The sequence below is a fragment of the Homo sapiens genome, chromosome 1 (assembly GCF_000001405.40).
Source record: "Homo sapiens chromosome 1, GRCh38.p14 Primary Assembly".
In the NCBI taxonomy this organism is placed as follows: Eukaryota; Metazoa; Chordata; class Mammalia; order Primates; family Hominidae; genus Homo; species Homo sapiens.
Genome location: NC_000001.11, coordinates 202,222,833 through 202,244,272, shown reverse-complemented (window position 1 = coordinate 202,244,272; position 21,440 = coordinate 202,222,833). Strand labels below are relative to the sequence as shown.

The 21,440-nt window shown below is 50.7% G+C and overlaps 1 protein-coding gene, 1 long non-coding RNA gene, 1 other non-coding gene and 1 pseudogene across 21 annotated transcripts in view, besides 4 other annotated features; 1 reads left to right on the top strand and 3 right to left on the bottom strand.

Annotated features, from left to right (window-relative positions):
* Positions 1 to 21,440, bottom strand: part of LGR6 (leucine rich repeat containing G protein-coupled receptor 6) — a 125,963-nt gene that overhangs the window by 75,489 nt on the left and 29,034 nt on the right. For 13 of the 17 annotated variants that reach the window (NM_001017403.2, XM_047426928.1, XM_047426929.1 and 10 more), the window contains exons 2-4: positions 18,779 to 18,850; positions 16,266 to 16,337; positions 8,280 to 8,351 (exon numbers count right to left, since the gene is read on the bottom strand). In NM_001017403.2, the coding sequence (NP_001017403.1) occupies positions 8,280 to 8,351; positions 16,266 to 16,337; positions 18,779 to 18,850 (216 nt within the window). Of the gene's footprint in view, positions 1 to 3,852; positions 4,867 to 4,961; positions 5,136 to 5,155; positions 5,253 to 7,608; positions 7,741 to 8,279; positions 8,352 to 16,265; positions 16,338 to 18,778; positions 18,851 to 21,440 lie in introns of those variants that run through there. The other 4 variants (XM_017001997.2, XM_011509846.3, XM_011509843.3 and 1 more) reach the window with 4 other exon arrangements.
* Positions 2,192 to 2,692: an enhancer, noted in NCBI's record as "H3K4me1 hESC enhancer chr1:202210709-202211209 (GRCh37/hg19 assembly coordinates)". NCBI's record gives its function as "activates a minimal SCP1, AML or CMV promoter by ChIP-STARR-seq in primed H9 embryonic stem cells {active_cell/tissue: H9 hESC(primed)}" and the evidence as "EXISTENCE:reporter gene assay evidence [ECO:0000049][PMID:30033119]".
* LOC101929388 (uncharacterized) lies at positions 5,272 to 17,132 on the top strand. Of its 3 annotated transcripts, XR_001738376.2 has the most exons (6): positions 5,316 to 5,398; positions 14,286 to 14,389; positions 15,467 to 15,608; positions 15,742 to 15,845; positions 16,268 to 16,373; positions 16,547 to 16,955. It is a non-coding gene; the product is annotated as an uncharacterized LOC101929388 (long non-coding RNA). The 3 variants fall into 3 exon arrangements; XR_922425.3 differs by lacking the exon at positions 15,742 to 15,845 and having other exon boundaries at positions 5,272 to 5,398; positions 16,547 to 17,132; XR_922426.2 differs by lacking the exons at positions 5,316 to 5,398; positions 15,742 to 15,845 and adding an exon at positions 8,197 to 8,388 and having other exon boundaries at positions 16,547 to 17,132.
* Positions 6,844 to 6,893: an enhancer, noted in NCBI's record as "active region_2333". NCBI's record gives its function as "activates an Ori minimal core promoter by ATAC-STARR-seq in GM12878 lymphoblastoid cells {active_cell/tissue: GM12878}" and the evidence as "EXISTENCE:reporter gene assay evidence [ECO:0000049][PMID:35858748]".
* Positions 7,962 to 8,654: an enhancer, noted in NCBI's record as "H3K27ac-H3K4me1 hESC enhancer chr1:202204747-202205439 (GRCh37/hg19 assembly coordinates)". NCBI's record gives its function as "activates a minimal SCP1, AML or CMV promoter by ChIP-STARR-seq in primed H9 embryonic stem cells {active_cell/tissue: H9 hESC(primed)}" and the evidence as "EXISTENCE:reporter gene assay evidence [ECO:0000049][PMID:30033119]".
* On the bottom strand, positions 12,509 to 12,609 carry LOC124904839 (small nucleolar RNA U13). The gene has a single exon (XR_007067435.1). It is a non-coding gene; the product is annotated as a small nucleolar RNA U13 (small nucleolar RNA).
* LOC124904750 (uncharacterized) lies at positions 17,875 to 17,929 on the bottom strand (annotated as a pseudogene).
* Positions 19,998 to 20,292: a silencer, noted in NCBI's record as "tiled region #5820; HepG2 Repressive non-DNase unmatched - State 22:ReprW, and K562 Repressive DNase matched - State 22:ReprW". NCBI's record gives its function as "represses a minimal TATA promoter and a strong SV40 promoter by Sharpr-MPRA in HepG2 and K562 cells {active_cell/tissue: HepG2 | K562}" and the evidence as "EXISTENCE:reporter gene assay evidence [ECO:0000049][PMID:27701403]".

Here is a 21,440-nt window from a genome sequence, read left to right as displayed (position 1 = left end):
AAGACACAGGTGATTAGGCTGGGCGTGGTGGCTCAAGCCTGTAATCCCAGCACTTTGGGAGGCCAAGGCAGGCGAATTACGAGGTCAGGAGTTCGAGACCAGCCTGGCCACCATGGTGAAACCCCATCTCTACTAAAAATACAAAAAATTAGCTGGGCATGGTGGAACGCACCTATAGTCCCAGCTACTTGGGAGGCTGAGGCAGGAGAATTGCTTGAACCCGGCAGGTGGAAGGTTGCAATGAGCTGAGATTGCACCACTGCACTCCAGCCTGGGTGACAGAGCGAGACTCCATCTCAAAAACAACAACAACAACAACAACAACAACAAAAAGACTTTGTTTTTTATTCTTATCTTTAGTCCTTCACCCAAGGACAATTTCCTTGTCGCCGCCTGCCCCTACCACCAACCCCATGATGTCTTCCTCCTTTCCTCAGTGCTCAGGAGACCCAAGAAAATGACTCCTTGAGAAAAATCTCCAAATTCATGCACAACTGGCTCCTTCTCTTGGAATCACCCAGGGCTCCCACTTGGGCCCTCTTGAAGATTTGCTTCCGGGAGGCTGTGAGTGGTAAGGTCAGTCATGGCTGGACCCTTCTCCTGTCACCACAAGATCCTCCTCAGCTCCATCCCGGCTTCATCTCTAACCCACTGGGGAATCCCAGGCAAGTCACCTCCTGCTCTACACCTCCCCTGCAGGTCTGTCTGTAAATTGGGGCTATAATTGCATTGCTACTCCTCACAAGGGAAGATAAAGAGCCATTTCTGGTGAAAAGCTCCTAGAAATGTCTTAATGCTCTTCATAAGAAGATGGTTATTAGGCATGACCAGCCTCAGAAGCTCTCTTGTGGACTCTCTGGGGGTGCTGATCAAGGCCAAGGGTCTCCAGGGCTCAATGCTGATACCACAGTGTTCACATCCCCTACCTCCCCAGGCAGCCAGAACCATCCCCTCAACCCAGGCTCCCCTTAACTCTAGAATACCTAGGGTAATGACAGAAATAGGGCAATCCAGGAGCCCCAGGCACGCCCCAGCTGAGCTCACAACCCAAGGTCAGCTCTGGGAGCAGGTACCCTGGAAATACGATGGTTCCTGAGCCCCACTGATGGGCCACTTCCCAAGGCTTGTCATCTCATTCAGCCCTCTCAGAATTGCTCTTGAGAGGCAGCCCAGCACCCTGGTTAAATGCGTGGACTCTGGGCCAGACTGCCTGACTTCTGACCCAGGCTCTGCTATAAGTCACTTTATGGCTCTGTGCCTCAGTTTGCTCGTCTATAAAATGGGGATTACAAGACATCTAGCAGTAGCCATCCCAGAAGAGTACTGTGAGGGTTAAGTGAGAGAATAAGTGCAATGACTTGCACATGGAAAGTGCTAGCCAAGTGTTGGTTCCTGTTGTTCGCCTGCCCTTGGGCATTAGTCTGGGGGTACAATAGTCCTTTGGAGGGCGATCAGAGGCATGAGATGAGGGGGGCTTGTCCAGAGGTCCCTTGCTTTTGGTTCTCCCTGGGAACACTGCCAATCCCTCCTAAGACCTCCAATGCTGGACAAAATGGTTCAGCCATTTTCTCCTGGAGCAGCTCAGGTCTTTCCTCCTCATCTCAACTCACAGCATTCCCAGGAGACTGGAAGGGTTCAAAAAAGATACTTTCCATTGCACAGTAAGGCAAACTGAGACCCAGAGAAGGCAAGCACCCAGTAAGCATAAACAATTCAAGAGCAGAGCCAGTAACCCCATTAGGAAGTTCCTGTACCTCTATGCATGATATTCACTCGGGACATCTGTCTGCCAATCATCCCACTGGACTCTCTCATTTTAGAGACAGAGAACCTTGGGCTCAGAGAGAGGAAGTGACTTGCCATGGCCTCGTAGCTAGTGATAGAGCTAGGACTTGAACCCAAGTCTCTGGATCCTAAAGATTATAGTTTTAGGGGATGTACTAAAGGATAGGGGTTAAGAACCTGGTACTTTGGAGTTGGAGCTAAACTAAAGTCCCAGCTCTGTTACATCCTAGCTGTGTGACCTCAGGCAAGTTGCTTAACTCCTCTGGGTTTTAGTTGCCTCATCTATAACATGGGAATAACAGACACTATTTTACAGGGCTTTGGGGATTAAATGAGATATATGAATGTGCTTAGCATATTGAAATGTGCTAAGAGGGAGCCACTCCTCCTTCCCACGTCACCTGAGCCCAGCTGCCTTCCCCGGCCCACGAGCACACCAGCACATCATCTATCCACCCTGGCTTCTCCACCTTTTTCCTCTCAGCAGGCAACCAATCTGTTTTGGATTGGCTGGCTTGGGCTGAGAGGGTTGGGGTAGTTCTGCCTTGGGTTTCAGTTTGGAGTCTGGTACTGCTCTTGATTCATTTCCCCGGCTCTAGACAATGTTTGCTAGTTTCATGTGGCTGTCCTTCGCATTATGCATTTCCCCCCTAGAGTATCCAGGTTTGGGCTGTTTGGCTGTTTTCTCCCCTTTAGTCTTGCCACTGTGCTTTTCCAACTCTTCTCCTGGGACCAGCCCACCGGAGCTCCCCAGGACCCAGACCAGCGCAGCCCCCACTTCTTCTGCTTTGCCATGCTGTTTCCCCCTTGCCCTGCCTCACCCCCACCCAGTTTCTATTTTCCCCCAGGCTCTGCTGGCTTCCTGTGGTTTCTCTTGGCCTTGGCTCAAGCCTGGCATGACATGTCTGGCATGGCCATTCTCCCCCCTCCCAAACTGGTCAGGGAGGAAGCAAGTGTATCCAAGGAGGAGGGTGTTGTGGAGCTGGGTGCTGCCTGCCCAGGTGCCAAGCCAAACAGTTTGTGTACCACATTCAGCTGGGTCCCTGGGCCTAGAATGCCTGGCTGGCCCCCATTCCCTAGCCCTAGCCCCACTCCTCACTCACACAAACCTACCTCTTACTGTGCCCCCATCTGGTTCTAGCTGGTAGAAAGTGGACCACAAGACTGAACCTTCCCTGAGGCTCCAGGAATGTCCACAAGAGTTTGCTCAGGTTCCTAAGTGGCTTGGTCTGCTCTGGGAACACATCACCCCAGGAGGGGCATGGGCAGGGGGTGCATCCTCTACATACTTCCCTGATCCGTTGATTTCCAACAGGAAAGACATTTCCATTTGCTGGTACGCCTTGGGAAGCAGGGAGGGTCACCCAGTGAAAGCCATCAAAAGGCGGCTTCCCTTGTAGCCTTTGGAGTCCAACAACTGGGTGTAGGCCTGCCATGCCCACTCACCAGCTCTGACCTTGGAAGAGGCCCTGAACTTGTCTGCCCCTATTTCTTCATCTGATAACAGAGACGGTGATTATTAGAGAGGGGTTTCTGTGAGGAATAATCAGACAATATACGTAGAACATCTCATGTAGCTTTAGGGGAGCTTTAGCCTGGCCTTGGGCATTAGTCTGGGGGCACAATAGTCCCTTGGAGGAAGGTCAGAGGTATGGAATGATGGGTCCCTGCTGGCACACAGGGAAGTCCAAAAAATTGTCATTTTTCCCCACTGTCTCCTTTCAGCCTAGCCACCTGGGCCTGCTTTTACTGTCACTATCTAAGACAGAAGGACCTGAATAAGATAGAGTAGCACCTTGCTGTGGGGCCTGAAGCGGTCTCTCCCTGAATCTCCCAATTTCCAAACACTTAGAACATAACACCTACATACAGAATCTTTGAGATGGATTACAGACCTCCCCTCTTCCCACCAACACACACACACACTGATGTCCTGCAGGTCAACTGACCAACTTCCCAGGTTCTCTAGGATACTTGGTTATCCTGCCTGCAGGCACCACAAACTCAACATGTCCCAGAGGGGCCTCAGCACATCCCCTTTCCCTGCACCCTCCCCAGAGCACTCACCTTGTGCTGTTCATTCGTTCTTTCATGTCGTTTTTTTTTTTTTTTCTGAGATGGAGTCTTGCTCTGTTGCCCAGACTGGAGTACAGTGGTGCAATCTCAACTCACTGCAACCTCTGCCTCCCAGGTTCAAGCAATTTTCGTGCCTCAGCCTCTCAAGTAGCTGGGATTACAGGCACCCACCACCACACCTGGCTAATTTTTTGAATTTTTAGTAGAGACGGGGTTTTGCCATGTTTGCCAGGCTGGTCTTGAACTCCTGAGCTCAGGTGATCCACCTGCCTCAGCCTCCCAAAGGGCTGGGATTACAGGCGTGAGCCACTGCGCCCAGCCTGCATGTTCTTAATAAGCTCTTACCACGTGCCAGACTCTTGCTGACGGTATACCCTGATGTCAAAGCCCAAGAACTGGGTGTCAGCTCAACTTCTCCTCTCCCTCAGCTCCCACATCCAGTCAGCATTACTACTACTAATGATCATTGTAGAAGTAGCAACAAAAGGTGCTGTTCTAATTCTTTTATGTATATTAAATCATTTCATTCTATGCTGTTGAGATACACAGATACTATTATCGCTTCCATTTTACTGATAAAGAAATGGAAACGCAGAGGGTAAGTAGTCTGCCCAGGATCTTATAGGCAGTAAGTGAGTAAGTGAAGAAGCTGAGAGGTGAACCCAAACAATCCGACTCCAGAGTCTCACTGGCATGACTTCTAGATATTTCTAGTTTGTCTGCTTCTCCTTTCACCAATGCCCCCGTCTGTCTTTCCTTTGGCCACTAACATGCTGCCTTGGTTTAGGAGCCTCTTCACTGACTTCCCCACCTTCAGACTGCCCCCTATAACTGCTGCCAAAGTAACTTTTCAAAGACACAAACCCTATCACCTTGCTTTCCTGCTAAAAGCCCTCCCGTGGCTCCCCGCTGTCTTAAGAATAAAGTCCAAATCCTTAGCAAGGTCCTCCCTACTTTTCAGGTATGACCACGTCTAACTCCAGATCTTTCCCCACTACTGCCCTTCCCACCAGTCCCCCAACACACCACACACACACACACACACACACACACACACACACACACACCACACACACACAAGTTCAGCCAGCCAAACTCACTTCCTTCCAAATTCTTCAGAATTTACTTGGTTCTGAAAGATTGTCCCCGGGGCCTGAAAGCTTGAAGGGATGAGTAACCCCTCCCTTCTCAGGCCCAGTCGCCAGGCGCAGGGCTACTTGCGTACGCCAGCAAGACAGCAGAAGCAGGAAAAGAGCCGGCCGGAAGACACCTACCCTGGTTGGAAGACACCTACCCCTGAAGATGGAGAAAGAGGCCATCCGGGTACCGCGTAGCAGTTACGTCAGACCGAGACGCCCCCTGTTTATAGGAGACAATAAAACCCCTGCCCCGTCCTCACTTGGGGCTGACGCCATTTTGGGGGCTGACGCCATTTTACGCCTCAGCCCGCCGGCACCCAGGCTCTTGTTAAAACGCACCGCTTCGTGTTAGCTGTTGGGGAGCTCTCGGGATTCCAACCGATACAAGAACCTTTCAGGTTCCTTCTTAACTTTGTGCCTTTGCAGCGTGTGCTGTTCCCTCTGTCTGAAACGTTATTCCCCGCCTCTTCACCTGATTCATACTAGTCTTTCAAGGCTCAACTCTGGTTCTGCCACCTCAAAAAATTTTGTTTAAAAAAAAAAAAAATAGAGCTGGGCCCCATGGCTCACGCCTGTAATCCCAGCACTTTGGGAGGCCGACGCAGGTGAATCACGAGGTCAGGAGTTCGAGACCAGCCTGGCCAATATGGTGAAACCCCCGTCTCTACTGAAAATATAAAAATTAGACGGGCGTGGTAGCCCACGCCTGTAGTCCCAGCTACTTGGGAGGCTGAGGCAGGAGAATCTCTTGAACCCAGGAGGCGGAGGTTGCAGTGAGCTGAGATCGCACCACTGCACTCCAGCCTGGGCGACAGAGCAAAAAAACTCTGTCTTAAAAAAAAAAAAAAAAAAAAAAAAAAGGATCAGGCTGGGCACAGTGGCTTACTCCTGTAATCCCAGAACTGTGGGAGGGGAGACCAAGGTAGGTGGATTGCTTTGGCTCAGGAGTTCGAGACCAGCCTGGACAACATGGCAAAACCAAAACCCCATCTCTACAAAAAAATACAAAAATTAGTTGGCGTGGTAGTGCACACCTATAGTCCCAGCTACTCAGGAGGCTAAGGTGAGGGGTGGCTTGAGCCTAGGAGGTGGAGGTTGCAGTGAGTTGCGATCAGGTCACTGCACTCCAGCCTGGGTGACAGAGCCAGACCCTTTCTCAAAAAACAAAAACAAAAACAAAAACAAAACAAAACAAAAAAACGGCGGAGGATCAATGACTGGTTAGATGAACGATCTCACAATAACATCATCATACATTATAGCTGTGTGAAGTCTTTTTTTTTTTTTTTGCAAATCCCCCTCACATTGACTATATATTTGATCTTCCCAACACCCTGTGAGGCAGGGAAGATAATTATCCCCACCTTGAAGATAGAGAAACTGAGGTGCAGAGAGGGCAAATGACACAGTAGTCACGATCAGAGCCAGGACTTGAAGCCACATTTTCTGTCACACAGGCCAGTGCTCTTCTTGCAGGATTGCAAAAAGCAAAATCTTCTCATCTGCCTTATAACTGGGGGAGTGGGGGACTTGACCTCTGTCCCCTGCCCTGTTATACCCAGGCAAAGGAGAATAATGGGGCTGAAAGTGGAAGCTAATGGTCTGGTTCTCCCAGCCACAAGGGCTGCCCACTTCCCAGAAAGTGTAGGGAAAATTGTCTGCATTGCCCAAAAGCTCCATGCCTAGTCCGAAAGCAAGACCTTTAGAAGCCCCAAGAACTCAGAATATGTGATTCACGATTTTTTTTAAAAAAGTAAACTTAATTAACAACCTTAAAAGTGTGAAGAAGTCCAGTGAAAGTCTAATTTTTTTCCCCTATGAAGTCCTCTTTGAGGCTGTGGATGAAATGTCAAATTCTCCTCACTCCTCCTCCCTTATTTTTGGCTGTCCCTGCTGCGCTGGTGCCCTAGGCAAATGTTTAGTCTGCCCCTGCGGGTGGGGAGCAAGCACAGGCTTGCCTGGCCTCTGGTCTTCCGACGTTGGCCTCTAGGGGCACACTGGGTTGCCTGGCCCTGTCCAGGGGTGAGGCTGGATGGAGGGAGAGGAGAGGGCTGGGGCCAGACGCCCAGCACTCATTGGGAAGGGGGGGCAGAAGCTGAGAGAGTGCAGGGAGGCAGGTTCTGCCACTGGGGCCGATCGATCGAGCAGCTGAGGGGTGCCAGGGACCAGACACAGAGGCAGGAGGGTAGAGGGCACCCAGGGAAGGAGTAGGAGAGGAAAGCCCTCACCACGGGGGGTGTGGCACAGCTGCTAGCCAGGACCCCCACAGCTGGCCCTCTGTGTAAGGTGGAATGGGGCCTAAATATCAGTCATGAGAAGGAAAGTCACCTTTTCCCACCTCATTTCTCCTTCCACCCAAGGAGAAGTCAGAAGTTGTCTGACTTCCACATCCACAGACTGAACAGCGCCAAAGTCTGAGAATATGAGAGGCCTTTGTTCGGACACACTGCATGCCCACTATGACTCAGTTTCCCCCACTAGCTAACTGCTGTGCCCCAATCTTGCCCCCCAACTTTGACTTCTCCCAAAATATCTGTTCACTCTCCCATCGGATGAAGTTGTACCTGATAATTAAGTTAGGTTCATCAAGCATGTATGAGGCACCTACTGTGTTCCAGGCCTTGGGCTGTGCATTATGTGGATGAAGCCCAGCGGCTCCCACTGGGCTGGGTTACATCACCCTGGAGCACCTGCTCCCGCTTCCACCCTCAGGCTGGGTCTGGCTTCCACGATGCCCCTGCTGGACAAGAAGGGAACTACAGGGCTCCTTGGAGGGAGGGATCTGTTATGGGTGGCCTGTGAGTCCCTGTGGACAGTCCCACCCCCAAGTAGAGAAAATGAGTATCTGAGCCTAGCCTCCTTCCCACCCACAGCAGAGCCCAGGGGCAAGAGCAGGCTAGGTAGAGGAGACAACCCCTTCCTGATGCTTCTTTTGGGCGGCAGTCTCCACCCCTAAACCCAGGCTCCAATGGCAGAACACCAGTCGCCCCAGGACCGCTGGCCTGGTGGCCTCACCTAGGGAGGTCCCATTCCCACAGTCCCCCAGTGGGGCGTGGGAGCACTCTTTTCCTGAAATATGCATAGGAGTGTACACAGCCACACACTGATGACAACAGAAAACCCCGGAGAAACCAAAGCCAGGAGCGGCATGCTGTCTGGAACGTGGACTGGGAGAGGGGGCGCCTGCAGAGGGAAGGGAAAGCTGAGGCAGGGGGCCCTGGGCTGTGACTCAGGCCCCAGGAAGCTGGTGACTCCCAGACCAGCCCTCTAATGACTCACAGCGACTGCAGGCTCGGCAGCTCCCACAGCGCCTCTGCGGGGATTCCTCCCAGCTGATTGTTCTGCAGCATCCTACGGGAGAAGAGAAAGGGCTTTAAGGACGCACATGGTATGCAGAGCTGGCTGGAGGGTGCTGACTCCTCCCTTGAACCCCCAGTCCCAAGCCAGACCCCTCCTTCTCACCCCAGCCTCAGAGCCCCAGAGAGAGTCTGGTCCAGCTCCCCTGCTTTGTTAGTGCAGATTCAGAGGCTGCTGAGGTCCCTGGGGTGTTGTACATGGGGCAGGGAGGCCCAGTGTTCAGGGAGAGCATCTCAGAAGGGACCCTAGGAGGAGGCAGGGGTGAAGAAGACCATGGAGAGGAAGGAGAGAAGACATTCTGAAGTCAAGAGTACTTGGGATTTTGTTAAAGTTTGGTCAGGAAGGATGTGGGAAAATGTAGGTTGTCAGTTTCCGTGTCTATTCATCTGAAAGGCTAAAGGTTTCTTTATGGAAGGGGAGGATGTGGATGAGGATAAGGCTGCCCTTAGGGTGTCAGTGCCCCAGGCAAATACATTTTTTTCAGCCTTTGTCTGTAGGAACAATTCGAAGTACTCCAGAGGAGTGTATCTGCACTATTCTCATGGCCCAATCTCACCTAATCCCTCAAAGAAGTGCTGTGCCAGCCAATGAAAACGATCTGCTCACTAGCTGTCCTCTGGGGACCAGGACCTAAGTCCCAAAACCCCACGATGACTCCATAGGCAGGAGTCCTGGAGCTCCTCAGGGCACCTGGGAACCCCATGTGTAGGGTAGAGGGTCAGAGAGCATGTACAAGGGGAGAAACAGGGCCTGGGGCGCCACTCCAGGTGGCACTGCTGACTCTAGCCAACCCCAGGCATCAGAGGGGACTTAGAAAGTTTTGAGGATAGCACTCGAAAGCGCAGGGAGTCCCCTGAGGCACAGAGCCCTGAGCAAGAGAAGGAACTGGGTAAAGACATAGGAGGAAAACCCTCCAGGCCTTTAGATCCAGAAATGAGAAGGAGAGCACACAGGGAGTTCATGGAAGAGCTGGGGAAGCAAGAAGGGAGGAAGTTGCTGACTGCCCTGGGCACAGTGAGTGAGCCCTACCCTAGGAGACTCAATTACCCCTTTATGGTGTATCCATCCATCTTTCAGAGGGGGAAGCCTTGGTGCACAATCATTAAGGTAATTCCACGCTTCAGGAAGAGTAGCCCAATTTCTGGTCCTTTAGTTTAATAATAGGAATGGCTAATGTGCCAGGTCCTGGTCTTAGAACTTGTATTAATTCAAACTCACCCTTGTTACAACTCCAACAGATAGGGATTATTATCATCCTCATGCTGAGGGTGCACACAACTGCTAACTGACAGAGCTAGGCTTTGAACCTAGAGAGTTTGGGTCCACAGTCTAGACACTTAACCATTACACCACAGCATCTATCATAGTGGTGGGATACAGCAGTGGCCAGAAAATGCTGAGCAGTAAGATGATGAGCCTGAGTTGTTTTCCATGCCTCCTATGTGACGTCCTGGTCAGAGTCACATGTCATCTCTCTTAAACTCCTCTTACGGGTATGTGAAAATCTCAAATATGAACCCAACCTCAGCATCACAAGAACAAAAGAATGCTGATCTCACTGTGGGAATGGGTGGGGATAGGAGGAGCCCTTCATAGAGGCAAGGCTACAGAAGGGAGAACAAAGAACAAAGACAGACTTTGGGGACCCCTGGGATTAGGTTCCTCTTTGCCACCCCAAGGGGTGGGGAAGGGGCAAGGGCCATACAAGGGAAGGGCCTGGCTGCAGGAAGGGGCAGAGCCCAGGGCTGTGAGCAGCTGGAGGGCTCAGCCCCTTTCCATGCAAACTCTGTGTTCCTGAAGGTCTGTTGGCCTCCAGTGTCCCCTTCAATCCAGGCTCCACCCAATGCCAGAGGGGCCTTTCCAGTTACAGAGTTTTGCTTCAGGGTTGGAATTTAAACCTGTGTCTCTTGGGCTTCCTTACAGTATAGTTGTCACAGATGCAGACTCTGAAGTCAGACAGCCCTGATCCACATCCTAGCTCTGTTGCTTTCCAGCTGTGGGGTAGTGTGCAAGCTACTTAAGAACCGCGGGCCTTAGTTTTCTCTTTTCTTATCTATAAGTTGGGGATGATACTGACCTCATTCACTGATTGTGTGGATCAAATAAAATCACCGCTGTAAAGCCCTCAATGGCAGTGTCTCACACAGAGGACAAGTTCAATAGCACATTCACTGATACTATCAATTATCATTATTAGTATCTCGTTTCAGTATTACCACTTACTGGATGACTTGAGTAAGTCACTTCCTCTCCCCTCTCTGGACCTTGATTCCTTCATCTTTCAAAGGAAGAGGCTGCCAGAAGGTGCATAAAGCCTCACTCAGTGGTAACATTCCATCCAGGACATTTCCTGCCCTCTGCCCTGCTTAGTGTTTCTACCCTCCCAGCCATCCTGACTTCTTTCATCTAAAGGGTGGGCCTTCGCTTCCCATCTCAGAGGCCTGCCTTGATTCTCATGCAGAAGCCTGAGGGTGCTTGGAGCAAGGATACAAGAGAAACGATGGCTGAGAAAACAGGGGGTCGCAGGCTGCTCATGCCTCTTCACAGGCCCCACCCCTCCAGGGGCCCAGGAGGCTACATCTGGTCACTGCACAAGTGAGTCCCGAGCTCCAAGGGGCCCCTCAATGCATCTTTACCTACATCACCTCCTAAGATTCCTCCATCCTTTCCTTTGTCAAATCCCAGAGAGATAACTAGAAAGATCTTTAAGGTTTCTGAATTGTACCTCCTCCCAATACAGACACTGTAACATCTTCTCACAGCACTTAATTTTCCTTCTAGTGTCAGGGAACTCATTGTCTCCCCGAGACAACTCATCCTATGCCAGACAGCCTGATTATCAGAAAGTCCTTTTATTCATGGAATCAACACCCATCAAGCTGGAGGTCAGCATGGCAGTCGGCTTTGGCCCTGACCCATTTCCCTTGATGTCCCTGTTCTCATTTCCTAGCCATCATTCTTTTATTGAACTACAACTGGGTTATAAAGGTTGGAAGGAAACAGCCCTTTGTTTTCCAAGATGAGGAGGTGAAGGCTCAGAGAGGGAAGGTAACTTGCCCTAAGTTACAAAGCAAATGAATGGCAGAATCAGGACTAGGACTCAAGTCCTGTCTCTCGGGCCAATGCTTTTGTGACGATGTTTTCCTACTTCTTTTTCTAGCCCTGGTTCTATATGGAGAGGCAGTCTATCTAATCCAGCGGTTCTTAGCCCTGGTTATACATCAGAATCAACAGACAAGGTTTTAACATTTTTTTGTAGAGATGGTGTCTTGATTTGTTGCCCAAGCTGGTCTCAAACTCCTGGGTTCAAGCAATCCTCCTGCCTCAGCCCTCCACAGCCCTGGGATTACAGGCATGAACCACTGCACCTGACCTCTGGGATGATTTTTAAAATCCCAATGCCCAGGTCACACTGAAGCCCAGTTAAATCTCTGGGGCAAAGTCTCTGGGGAAGGAATATGAGGCAGCAGTAGTTTTGCAAGCTCCCAGCTGACTCTAACATGCAGCCGTTGGTCCAGTAGAAGTCTAGTCCTCAACACTCCTCCCCTCACACATGTGAAGCATCTCTCTGGCCAGAGAGGCATTTGGGGGCAGGAACCATGAGTGTCACATCACATCCAAAAAGTATAAAAGAGGTGATCCACCTGTGGTTTCCAAAGGCTCCTTTAGTTCTGTAGAAGTGCTTGGGGGTTATGGGGTGGGTAGGTAAGATGCAGCCTGGAGTGTACCACCCTCTTCACTCACTTTAACCAGAGACCTCATTCATCTGTTTTATGTATTGGGAGGTCTGCACAAAATGCTTTTTTTTTTTTTTGAGACGGCGTTTTGCTCTTGTTGTCCAGGCTGGAGTGCAATGGCGCAACTCTCAAGGAGGTTGCTCACTGCAACCTCCACCTCCCGGGCTCAAGTGATTCTCCTGCCTCAGCCTCCTAAGTAGCTGGGATTACAGGTGTGCGCCACCACGCCCTGCTAATTTTGTATTTTTAGTGGAGATGGGCTTTCACCAAGTTGGCCAGACTGGTCTCGAACTTCTGACCTCAGGTTATCCACCTGCCTTGGCCTCCCAGAGTGCTGGGATTACAGGCATGAGCCACCGCACCCAGCCCACAAAATGCTTTTGATTTTAAGTTTCCTTTAAAAAAAAAATTTCATGTAGAGGGGTAATGTGCTGATGTCGTAACAAGGTCCAAGGGTGGCACATCACACGTATGAGTGTGAACACCGATCATCATGTGTATGAACTACAAAGAATCTGTTTTAAGTTTCCATAGCTAAAAATGTTGGAAATTTTATTCTGACTCCTCCACTTTAAAAGGTGAGAAAACGGAGGCTCAGAGAGAGGAAATCTGAGATCCTCCTTAACATCTGTTCTGGGGTCTGGTGAGGCTCTGAGTCTGACCTCAAGGCTTCTGACTGCACATGAGATCCACAGAGCTAGATCCACTCCCTGTCATCCCATCACTTGAAAGGATGAGGGCAGCAGGCCTTGCCTCATGTACAGGGGTGACTCAGAGAGGGCAGCCTTCTCCCCCGAGCCAGGTTGGTGAGGCTCGGACAGAGCCCAGCACTCCCAAATGACCAGCATTTCCCTTCGTGGGTCAGTTCAATTCAGTTCATCGACACTAATGGAGCCCAGGCTCAGCCAGGCATGGTCACTGCCTAGCCAGGCACAGAGTAAACACAGCTAATGTCAACTGAAGATGGCTCCATACAGGGTGAAAAGGGCTACACTAGAGGTTGGCTCAGGGAGATTTCCTCCGGGATGGGTCCCGGAGATGCTAACTCCCAGCCACTCCTCTGTGGCCTGGAGCCAGGGTTTCATATGGGATGGGCCGCAGCTCAGGAAGCAGGAGCTGCCTTCTAAGAGCCTTAGTCTTTATCAAGATGGCATGGGCTAAGAATCCACAGTCACAGACTTACAAGGATTTGGGACTCAATCCAGGAGCAAGGCACCTGGGAAAATCTCCTGCCCAGTCTCTTGAGGGCAGGACGGGAGGCAGGTCCTCAGACTGTTACCCCAGTTTCCCAGATCTGGGCCTGGTAAGAAGCAACTGAAGCCCAGCAGGAGTCTTTCTAGATGCCAGACCATCTTATGTCAGGCCAATCTGGCATAAGGAGGGAGGAGATGGTCTGCAGATGTGAGAAGATGACCAAGCCTCAGGCCTCACCCAGCTCTCTGGGAGGCCAGCTCTGGGGAAAGAAACCTGTGATGGAGACGAGACAGGAAACTTTTGAGATAAAGACTGGAGAAGCCTGACACACACACGCACACATGCATCCCCACACCCTTAGTCCACGGGTCAAGATGCAGGAGCTCTGGCCAAAGCTGCCCCTGTGTAAAAACAGGCAGGACAGGAGCCCTCAGAGGCTCGGGCATTTTCCCACATGCCTAGGGCAGAGGGAGCCATGGCTTCCCTTAGCACAGCTCCAGTGCTGAGCCGGGATGGTGAGACTAGTGATGGTTAAGACTAGCGTCTGGGCCTTGCCAGCTCTACAGGACAGAGATAGCGATGTGAGACTGAAAGTTCCCTGCAGTAGCTGACTCCCTTGATCTGAGCCTGGCCAGAGCCTGTGGGTTGAAGACTTAGAGAACTCTCAGAAGAAGAAGATCTTAAGAGTAATATCTCCAGATCGGGCAGGGATGGGTGGGGGTGTGGGGGGGTGTGGGAAAGACATGAGAGAGGGCTTCTGCCATAGTCATTTAAGAAAGAATCAGAGAGGGAATCCTCTTTATTTAATCCTTTGCCTCGGGAGAGAAGGACCAAGGCAGAGTGTCCCACAGGGAGAGCCCAGCCTCTGAAATAAGAAGAGGCCACTCAGATAAGGGTCCCAGGCCCAGAGAAGACTGGGGAGTAGCTAAGGTGACTGTCTCCTGGTACAAAAATAGGTTGTCATTATCATGGTGCTACTGCTCTATTTTTCTTGCAGCTCTGAAAAGCAAGCAATGGAAGGAAATACGAGGGAAATTGACATCAGACATCAGAAAGTAATTCGTGCCTAGGATGCAGGTGGAATCTTCTGCTTTGAAGCATGTAAGAGGATAATTCCCCAAGACCACCCAACCCATCCCTAAGGTAGAGAAGTTCTGTAGGCCAAGGACTGACACAAAGGCTTTGGGGGACCAGGTGATCTTTGAGGATGGGGCAAAATGAGGCTCAATGGCAAAGTGGGGAGCAGACAGCCTGGCTGTCCTCAGCTCCCACTCAACTTCTGCCCACAACCTCCCCCTGCTGCCCTACTCACTGAGCCAAGGGTGCCATTTGCAGAAAGGGGGGCGGGAGGCCTGTGGTTTCTCTGAAGCTTTGATTTATTGCCTAATGCAGGCAAAGAAGAAAGAGGAGGCTCATCTCTAAGCCGGAGTCTTAGGAATGGGACGTGAGTCTTACATCTTCTGAAGGCCCAGTAAACAGAGCCCTGCTCTCTAATCCGGGCTGCAGGTCTGAGCCTGCCACTGGGCACAGACACACCACCAAGTAGGCCGCCTGCACTGTGTGTCTGTTTCAGAATGCCTCCCCTGCTCCCCAGGGCAGAGAAGTTTATGGGGAGAGAGACACAGAGAGGAGACAGGAAGAAGCAGAACTGAGAGGCAGGGAATAGTGGGGCAGGGAGAAGGAGAAGGGGGAGACAAGGTGACAACAGGAGAGACCCAAGGACAGAGCAGAGAGTAAGGGAAAGATAGAGACCAGAGAGCCCTGGGAGTTAGAGATTCACAGGCAGAGGGGCCAGAGACGAACAACACAGGGAAAGGAGAAAGTGCTTAGATGTGGAGTGTTGAACTTGACCAGCTGGAAGCCTGGAACTCATGGGCCAAGGCGGGCAGGACCACCACTAGCCCATCAGCACCTCTGAGTACATTTTTAAAAGATATCGCTTTCTGGGTGAATGCAGCCCCAAGCCAGGGCACAGGACGGGATTCAGCCCCTTCTCACTTCCTTAACCAGATGCTCTGGTGCAATGAACAACCTGCTCAACTGTACAAAGGAGACCTGCAAGTCAGGGGTAAGGGAGTAGCAGAGTTGGGAATGACTCACCACTTTAGGGAAGCCCCAAATGCTCATTCTGTTGCTCCAGCATCAGTCCCTAATATCCTCCTTTTCTTCCCAAACCAGACCCTGTGGCAACGCGACCTCCCTGGGAACCTCTCCTATCTACCTTCAGTCCCTATGCATCCGCTTCCTCCCAATTCCTCTTGCCCTCACTCATCATAAGCATATGAGGAGGCTTTGGGAGGACAGTCTTAGTTGGAACAAGGTGAGTCATGAGTTGAGGAGATTGTGTCTCAGCCTTCCTTTCTCTGAAATGGGCCATCAGTTTGATGGTAAGTGGAAGCTAGGTGGAATAACAAAAGGTCCTCTCCAACTCTCACTTTCCTTTTGCTTCAAAGGGAATAGGTAAAGGAGGAGCAGGGAGGAAGCAACATGAAGACCGAAGGAGGGAATATGTTTATAGCCAGAATGGAAACTCAGTACTGCAGCCACAGAGACAAAGGTTGGGTTGCAAGGGGAAGAAAAGCCAAAGAAAAGCCACCTGTATTTCCCCTCTCCAGAAACAGTCTTATCCGTCTCTTGGGCTAGAGGTCATGGGGAGAGACCTGTGGGTCTGTAACTGAACTCAGTCCCACAAAGACCTATGTCGATGGTCATTATACACTTTAATTTTTTTAAATGTTTCACTTCCTTTTAGTGTGGCTGAATGTAGCAGGTACAATTAAATGTTTATTTACAAATCATAAAGTTTGTTACAGACAAGGTGAAGCAAAGAAATGGAAATAACAATTGAAACTGAAAGTGAAGATAAGGAAATAATAAGCAAGTCAGTGGTAAACCAAGACTTGGGTTCTAAAACTTTGATTTGCTCACCATTCTCAGTGCTGCAGCTCTATGTAAAATGAGGTGTACCTATACTTACAGGATTTTCAGGCTGTAGAGACCAGAGAATGCTTGTCCTGGGATGTGTGAGAGATGGTTCCCAGAGAGACGCCTGGAAATCAGAGACAAGGGTCAGCGATGTTGGCAGGTAACCCAAGGAGGTGGTGACCTCCATAAGAAAGTGTCTTGAGATACGGGAAGGGAGGGCGGTGGTAAAAACTACTATTTATTGAAATCTACGATGCGTTTAATACTTCACATGCATTGCCTCAGTTCTCACAATAATCCTGTAAAGTGCCTATTATTTTCCCCAAATTTCAGATGAGGAAACTGAGGCTAGGAGAAGTCAACCACGTCCCCTAGGGGTCACAGAACCAGTCCATGGCAGAGCCTGGTGTTCTCACCCAGACCTGACTAATTTGAAGGCTCACGGCCACAGTTTCCCCACATCCTCTCCTGTGCTAACCTGGATTACCCACCGCCTGCTCTCAACTGCTGGACTGCATCATATGGTGTCATCAGTAGAGGGAGGAGTACCAGGGGGTGTGTCTGTGTCTCTCCAGGCCCTAAACTACACAGCTAACCCTCACTAATCCAAGAGGGTTAAGGAAATGGGGTGGTGTAATTCATCTAACATTCTGGTCTAATTAAGCGTTTCCATGTTTATCGGGGCAATCACCAATTCTAAAAGGAGCAAATGCAACGAAATACACTCAATGCTGAAACCTGACTGAGCAGAATTTAATGGTGGATGATTCAGAAGTCACTGCCTGATCTCCAAAGTCCCCAGGGACATTATTTTGTGCATCAGTTCCTACCAAGAGGCTTGTAGATGTGGAGATTGTGCTGGCATACCTCAGACACTATTTTTAAAACATATATCTCTAATAAAAGTCCCTTTATTTGACATTTATTGTTTAAAAAAAAACTATGTGGAAAGGCATCGTGACATCTGAGGTCTCCTAGCTTGGGTTCTGTAGGTGGGTATTTGCCGTGGAAAGGTCCTTTAGGTGGAGCCTCTAAAATGGGTCCAGACCTCTCAGGTCGTGGGAGACGGAAAGTCAGCCTGAAGTTCTCAGGTCGTGTCCAATGTCACCTGCCTGAGCTCCTTGGCCTTTGCTCTTGCTTTGCATTCCCATCTAAGCTGGGTCATCTCCCCTTCAAAAGGCCCCTCCACTGCCTCTTACCCTGTCCGTCTCCTTTGAAAACTGGTTTAATCTTCTTCCTCCAGGAAGGCTTTCCTGCCTACTGGCCAGGCCAACCCTGACCACTCCCTTACACAGAATGCCCTGGGTGCCTGAGCCAACAGCTGCCACACTCCCCTGCTGACTTGCTGGCCACACTACTCTTCAGCCTCACCTGGACATTCCCTGGGGGTGGCAGGAAGGCTTTTATCTTGTTTTCTCCCAGAGCACCTTGAGCTTGCCTGTCTACCAGAGGGGGTTCAACAAGTACTTGGTCTGGATACCAAGCCATGGCCCTGGGGGTCAAAACTCCAACAGGGGCAGGTTGACCGCATCCCTGGGGAGCACTGTCTAGGGTCACGGTGGCAAGGTCTGTTAGGGGAGTAGTGGGGCCAGGGTAGAGGTGAAATTGTGAATGCTTTCGGGGCCAGGAACTCACAGTTTGCGAAGTTTCTTTGTTTATTATTTTTTATTTAAATTCTAAAAGAGCTAGACAAATTCTAAAAGAGCTGTAACACTCAGTTTGAGAAGTTTAAGCAAAATTTCTAGAGCCGCAAGGATCTATGTGGTGTGAAAATTAGAAAAAACAGGGCTGGGAGGTGTTGGAAATACAGAGCTAGGATGAAAGCAAGGATTGGGACAGAATGACCTGGCTCCCCAGAGCAGGCAGTCCAGTCACTCTAATCCAGGAGATGATTTACTTTTGAGCACCCCTAGCATATAAGGCCAGATTGAAGAATCCCAACCTGAGAGTGACCACTGTGGGCAGGGATTCACCAGGGAGTACTTTGTGGAGGAAATGGGCCTTAACTGTAAGGGAGGGTCTAAGAAATGGATCCTTTAGGCCATGGGGAATTACAGAAGGCTTTTGAGCTGGTGAGATGCATCCTGAAGGTGTGCAGAGTAATTTAGAATGGAAGGAGGGCATCTGTCAGTTAGGAGGCTGGTTCAACCCCTAGATGTGAGGGGACATCTGGGGCAGTAGCAGTGGGACTAGAGAAGCGGGGTGGAGGTGAGAGACATCCCAGAGAAGAACCACCAGGACTTGGGGAGGGGCTGGTGGCTGGACACAGGGGATGACAGCAGGTCAAAGATGACTCCCAGGGAGAAGTTAGGAGGGAATGCTGCAAAGAGGAGCTGGTTTCAAAGAGGAATGAAAGCTAGATCCTAGACTTCCCATGCCATGTGGCCCAGCATGTCAATTCACACCTGGGGCAGGTGTCAGCTGAAGAACACCCTGCTGTCAAGAACTGTCTTAGCTTCCCAAGCCCCTTTCTCTTCTCTCCACCCCACCTCCTGGGGAGCTCTGGTTCCAGAGATATTAGACAGAGCCCATGCTTGCCTCCCACCCTGCAAAGCATCTACTCACAGCTCCTCCAAGAAGCGCAGGTGGTGGAAGAGGCCAGGCTGAAGCTCTGTGAGGTTGTTCATGCTGAGGTCCCTGGTGGAGAGAAGATGGAAAAAGGAGCTGTGAACTCCCCACTTGGGCCATCTGGCACTGTCCAGGTGCCAACCCCCCTCGAGGGACCTCCGAGGCTCCCACAGTACCCCCCACCAGGCCATTCTGACTCCAAAGCCAGTCTGACAACAGCAGCTGCGTTCTCTCTAAGAGCAAGAACTGAGCTGGGAGTCAGGCCTCCCGGGTCATTTGGTGATTCTCTCTATATGGTCTCCCACTTTCCCCTCTGCCTTTCACCTGTCCTTTGTGAGACTCCCCTGGGACTGGCTGTGATTGGGATTATGAAGGAAACTGGCCTCCCTATAAAGCGAGGAACTAGAGTAAAATTCATAGAATTTCAGAGCAGGAAGGGAAGGATCGCCAAATACAAATAATATCTCACCCACTCTTTTTACTAGTGGGGAAACTGAGGCCCAGAGATCACTGCTATTTCAATCTATGGAGCAGGCTCATTCAGTATTCATGAACTGGTACGACTGTCCCTGGGCTCCCCTTGGGGGACCAACCTCTGATTCAATCCCAGAGCTAGTGGCATTTCACTGCCCTTTGAGGTGTCTACCAGGCTCTACCTGTTTGCTTCCCTTAGTCCAGGGGTCCCCAACCCGGGGGCAGCAGACCAAAACCAGGCGGAACATAGAGAGGGAGGTGAGCAGGCTGGTGAGCACTCCCGCCTGAGCTCCACCTCCTGTCAGATCAGCCGAGGCAGCAAAAGATTCTCATAGGAGTGTGAACCCTACTGTGAACTGCGCATGCGAGGGGTCTAGGTTGCATGCTCCTTATGAGACTCTAACTAATGCCTGATGATCTGAGGTGGAACAGTTTCATCCCGAAACCATCCCCCACACTCCACCCCTGTCCGTGGAAAAAAATTATCTTCCATGAAACTGGTCCCTGGTGCCAAATAGGTTAGGGACCACTGTCTTAGTCCACCTGGAAGACATGACACCTTGGCACATCACAGAACTGGCACACCACTAGATTCCCAGGTGGGGTAAGGATCCCAGTCCCTCTGCGGATCCACAGCCTCAATCATCTTAAGCTCATATTATCTGACAGACCCTGTGGGTGGTTTCAGTGTCACTGTCCTCTTAGAGGCCCCGCACACAAAATAATCACAATAATTACCCTGGCATTTACTGCAGGTCCACTCTGTGTCAGACACCGGCTAATCTTTACCCAAACAACCTCCTTCCATTCTCACAATAACCCCAAATTAGCTTCCATCATTATCTCCATTTTACACTCAAGAAAACAGAGAGAAAGGAGCACTGAGCTTCGAAGTCAAAAGGCCCTGAGGTCACATCTCTCCTCTGCAGTTACCTATCAGACGTTGGGCCCTTGACCTCTGGGCCCCTAGTTGACCTCATCTATAAAAATAGGGCAGCACCAAGCTGGTAGGGTGCTTGTAAAGATTAAGTGAGCTAATGCTTACAGACTGCCTAATAAATAGTATGGACAAGGTACATATTTGCTTTTCTCCTCTTGCCTTTCCCTCGGGGTCCTGTGGGCAAGTGTCCCAGCCCCACAGGCCGGTGGGAGAGGGGCTGGTGCCTTTTCACAGGCCTGTGGGGCTGGGACACTTGCCCACAGGACACTGAGGGAAAGATGGAAGGAGGAAAGTAGTAGAGAGGAGTTGGTACCTTCCTCTGTGGGTCCTACCCTGTGTTGGCATCTTCTTCACAGTTTGTGCCTGGATGAGCAACAGTGTGTGAGACTGTGTGTGTGTGCCTGACACATTTGCATTCCATCCTACTTCAAACTCCTAATGCCTGATTCTCGTCTCTGCCTGCCCCTTCCCTGAGGGGGTACAGAGGTGGGCTCAGACCAGACCACCACAAGCTGGGCACTGCCCCCAAGCCTTCTTGAGGCTTTCTCCTTTCCCTAGACATGCACTGTTGCCCTCAAACCTCAGTGTCTGCATTTCCCCCCAAGAAATGCGTGTGCTTTCTGTGTGCCCAGAAAGGCAGGCTGGGAACAGCCTGGAGAGCGTGTGCTTGGGAGTCCTGTTCCAATCTATAAAAAGACTGTTTAGTCTCAAATGTTTTATCTTTGATAAAGCCTGGGCTCTGGACTCCATGTCCTCCAAGGAAGGAAGACATTCCGTGCAGGGTAGAACCAAGGAACTGGCATGCTGCACCCAGCGCTGCTTCTCATCTACCATTCCCTCCCTGCTCCCCTGCAGAACACCTCTGGGCTTGCCGGTCTAGAAATGGGATCCGCAGAAGCTGTAGGTGGTGTGCTGTGGCCATAGTTTCAGGTGGGAGAGAGGCAGAACCCAGAGAGTTTGTTGATGGATTTTTTTTTCCCCAGAGTTTCACTGTTGTCACCCAGGCTGGAGTACAGTGGTGTGATCTCGGCTCACTGCAACCTTCGCCTCCGGGGCTCAAGTGATTCTCCTGCCTCAGCCTCCTGAGTAGCTGGGATTATGGGCACCTGCCACCACGCCTGGCTATTTTTGTATTTTTAGTAGAAATGGGGTTCATGATGTTGGCCAGGCTGGTCTCGAACTCCTGACCTCAAGTGATCCTCCTGCCTTGGCCTCCCAAAGTGCTGGGATTACAGGAGAGAGCCA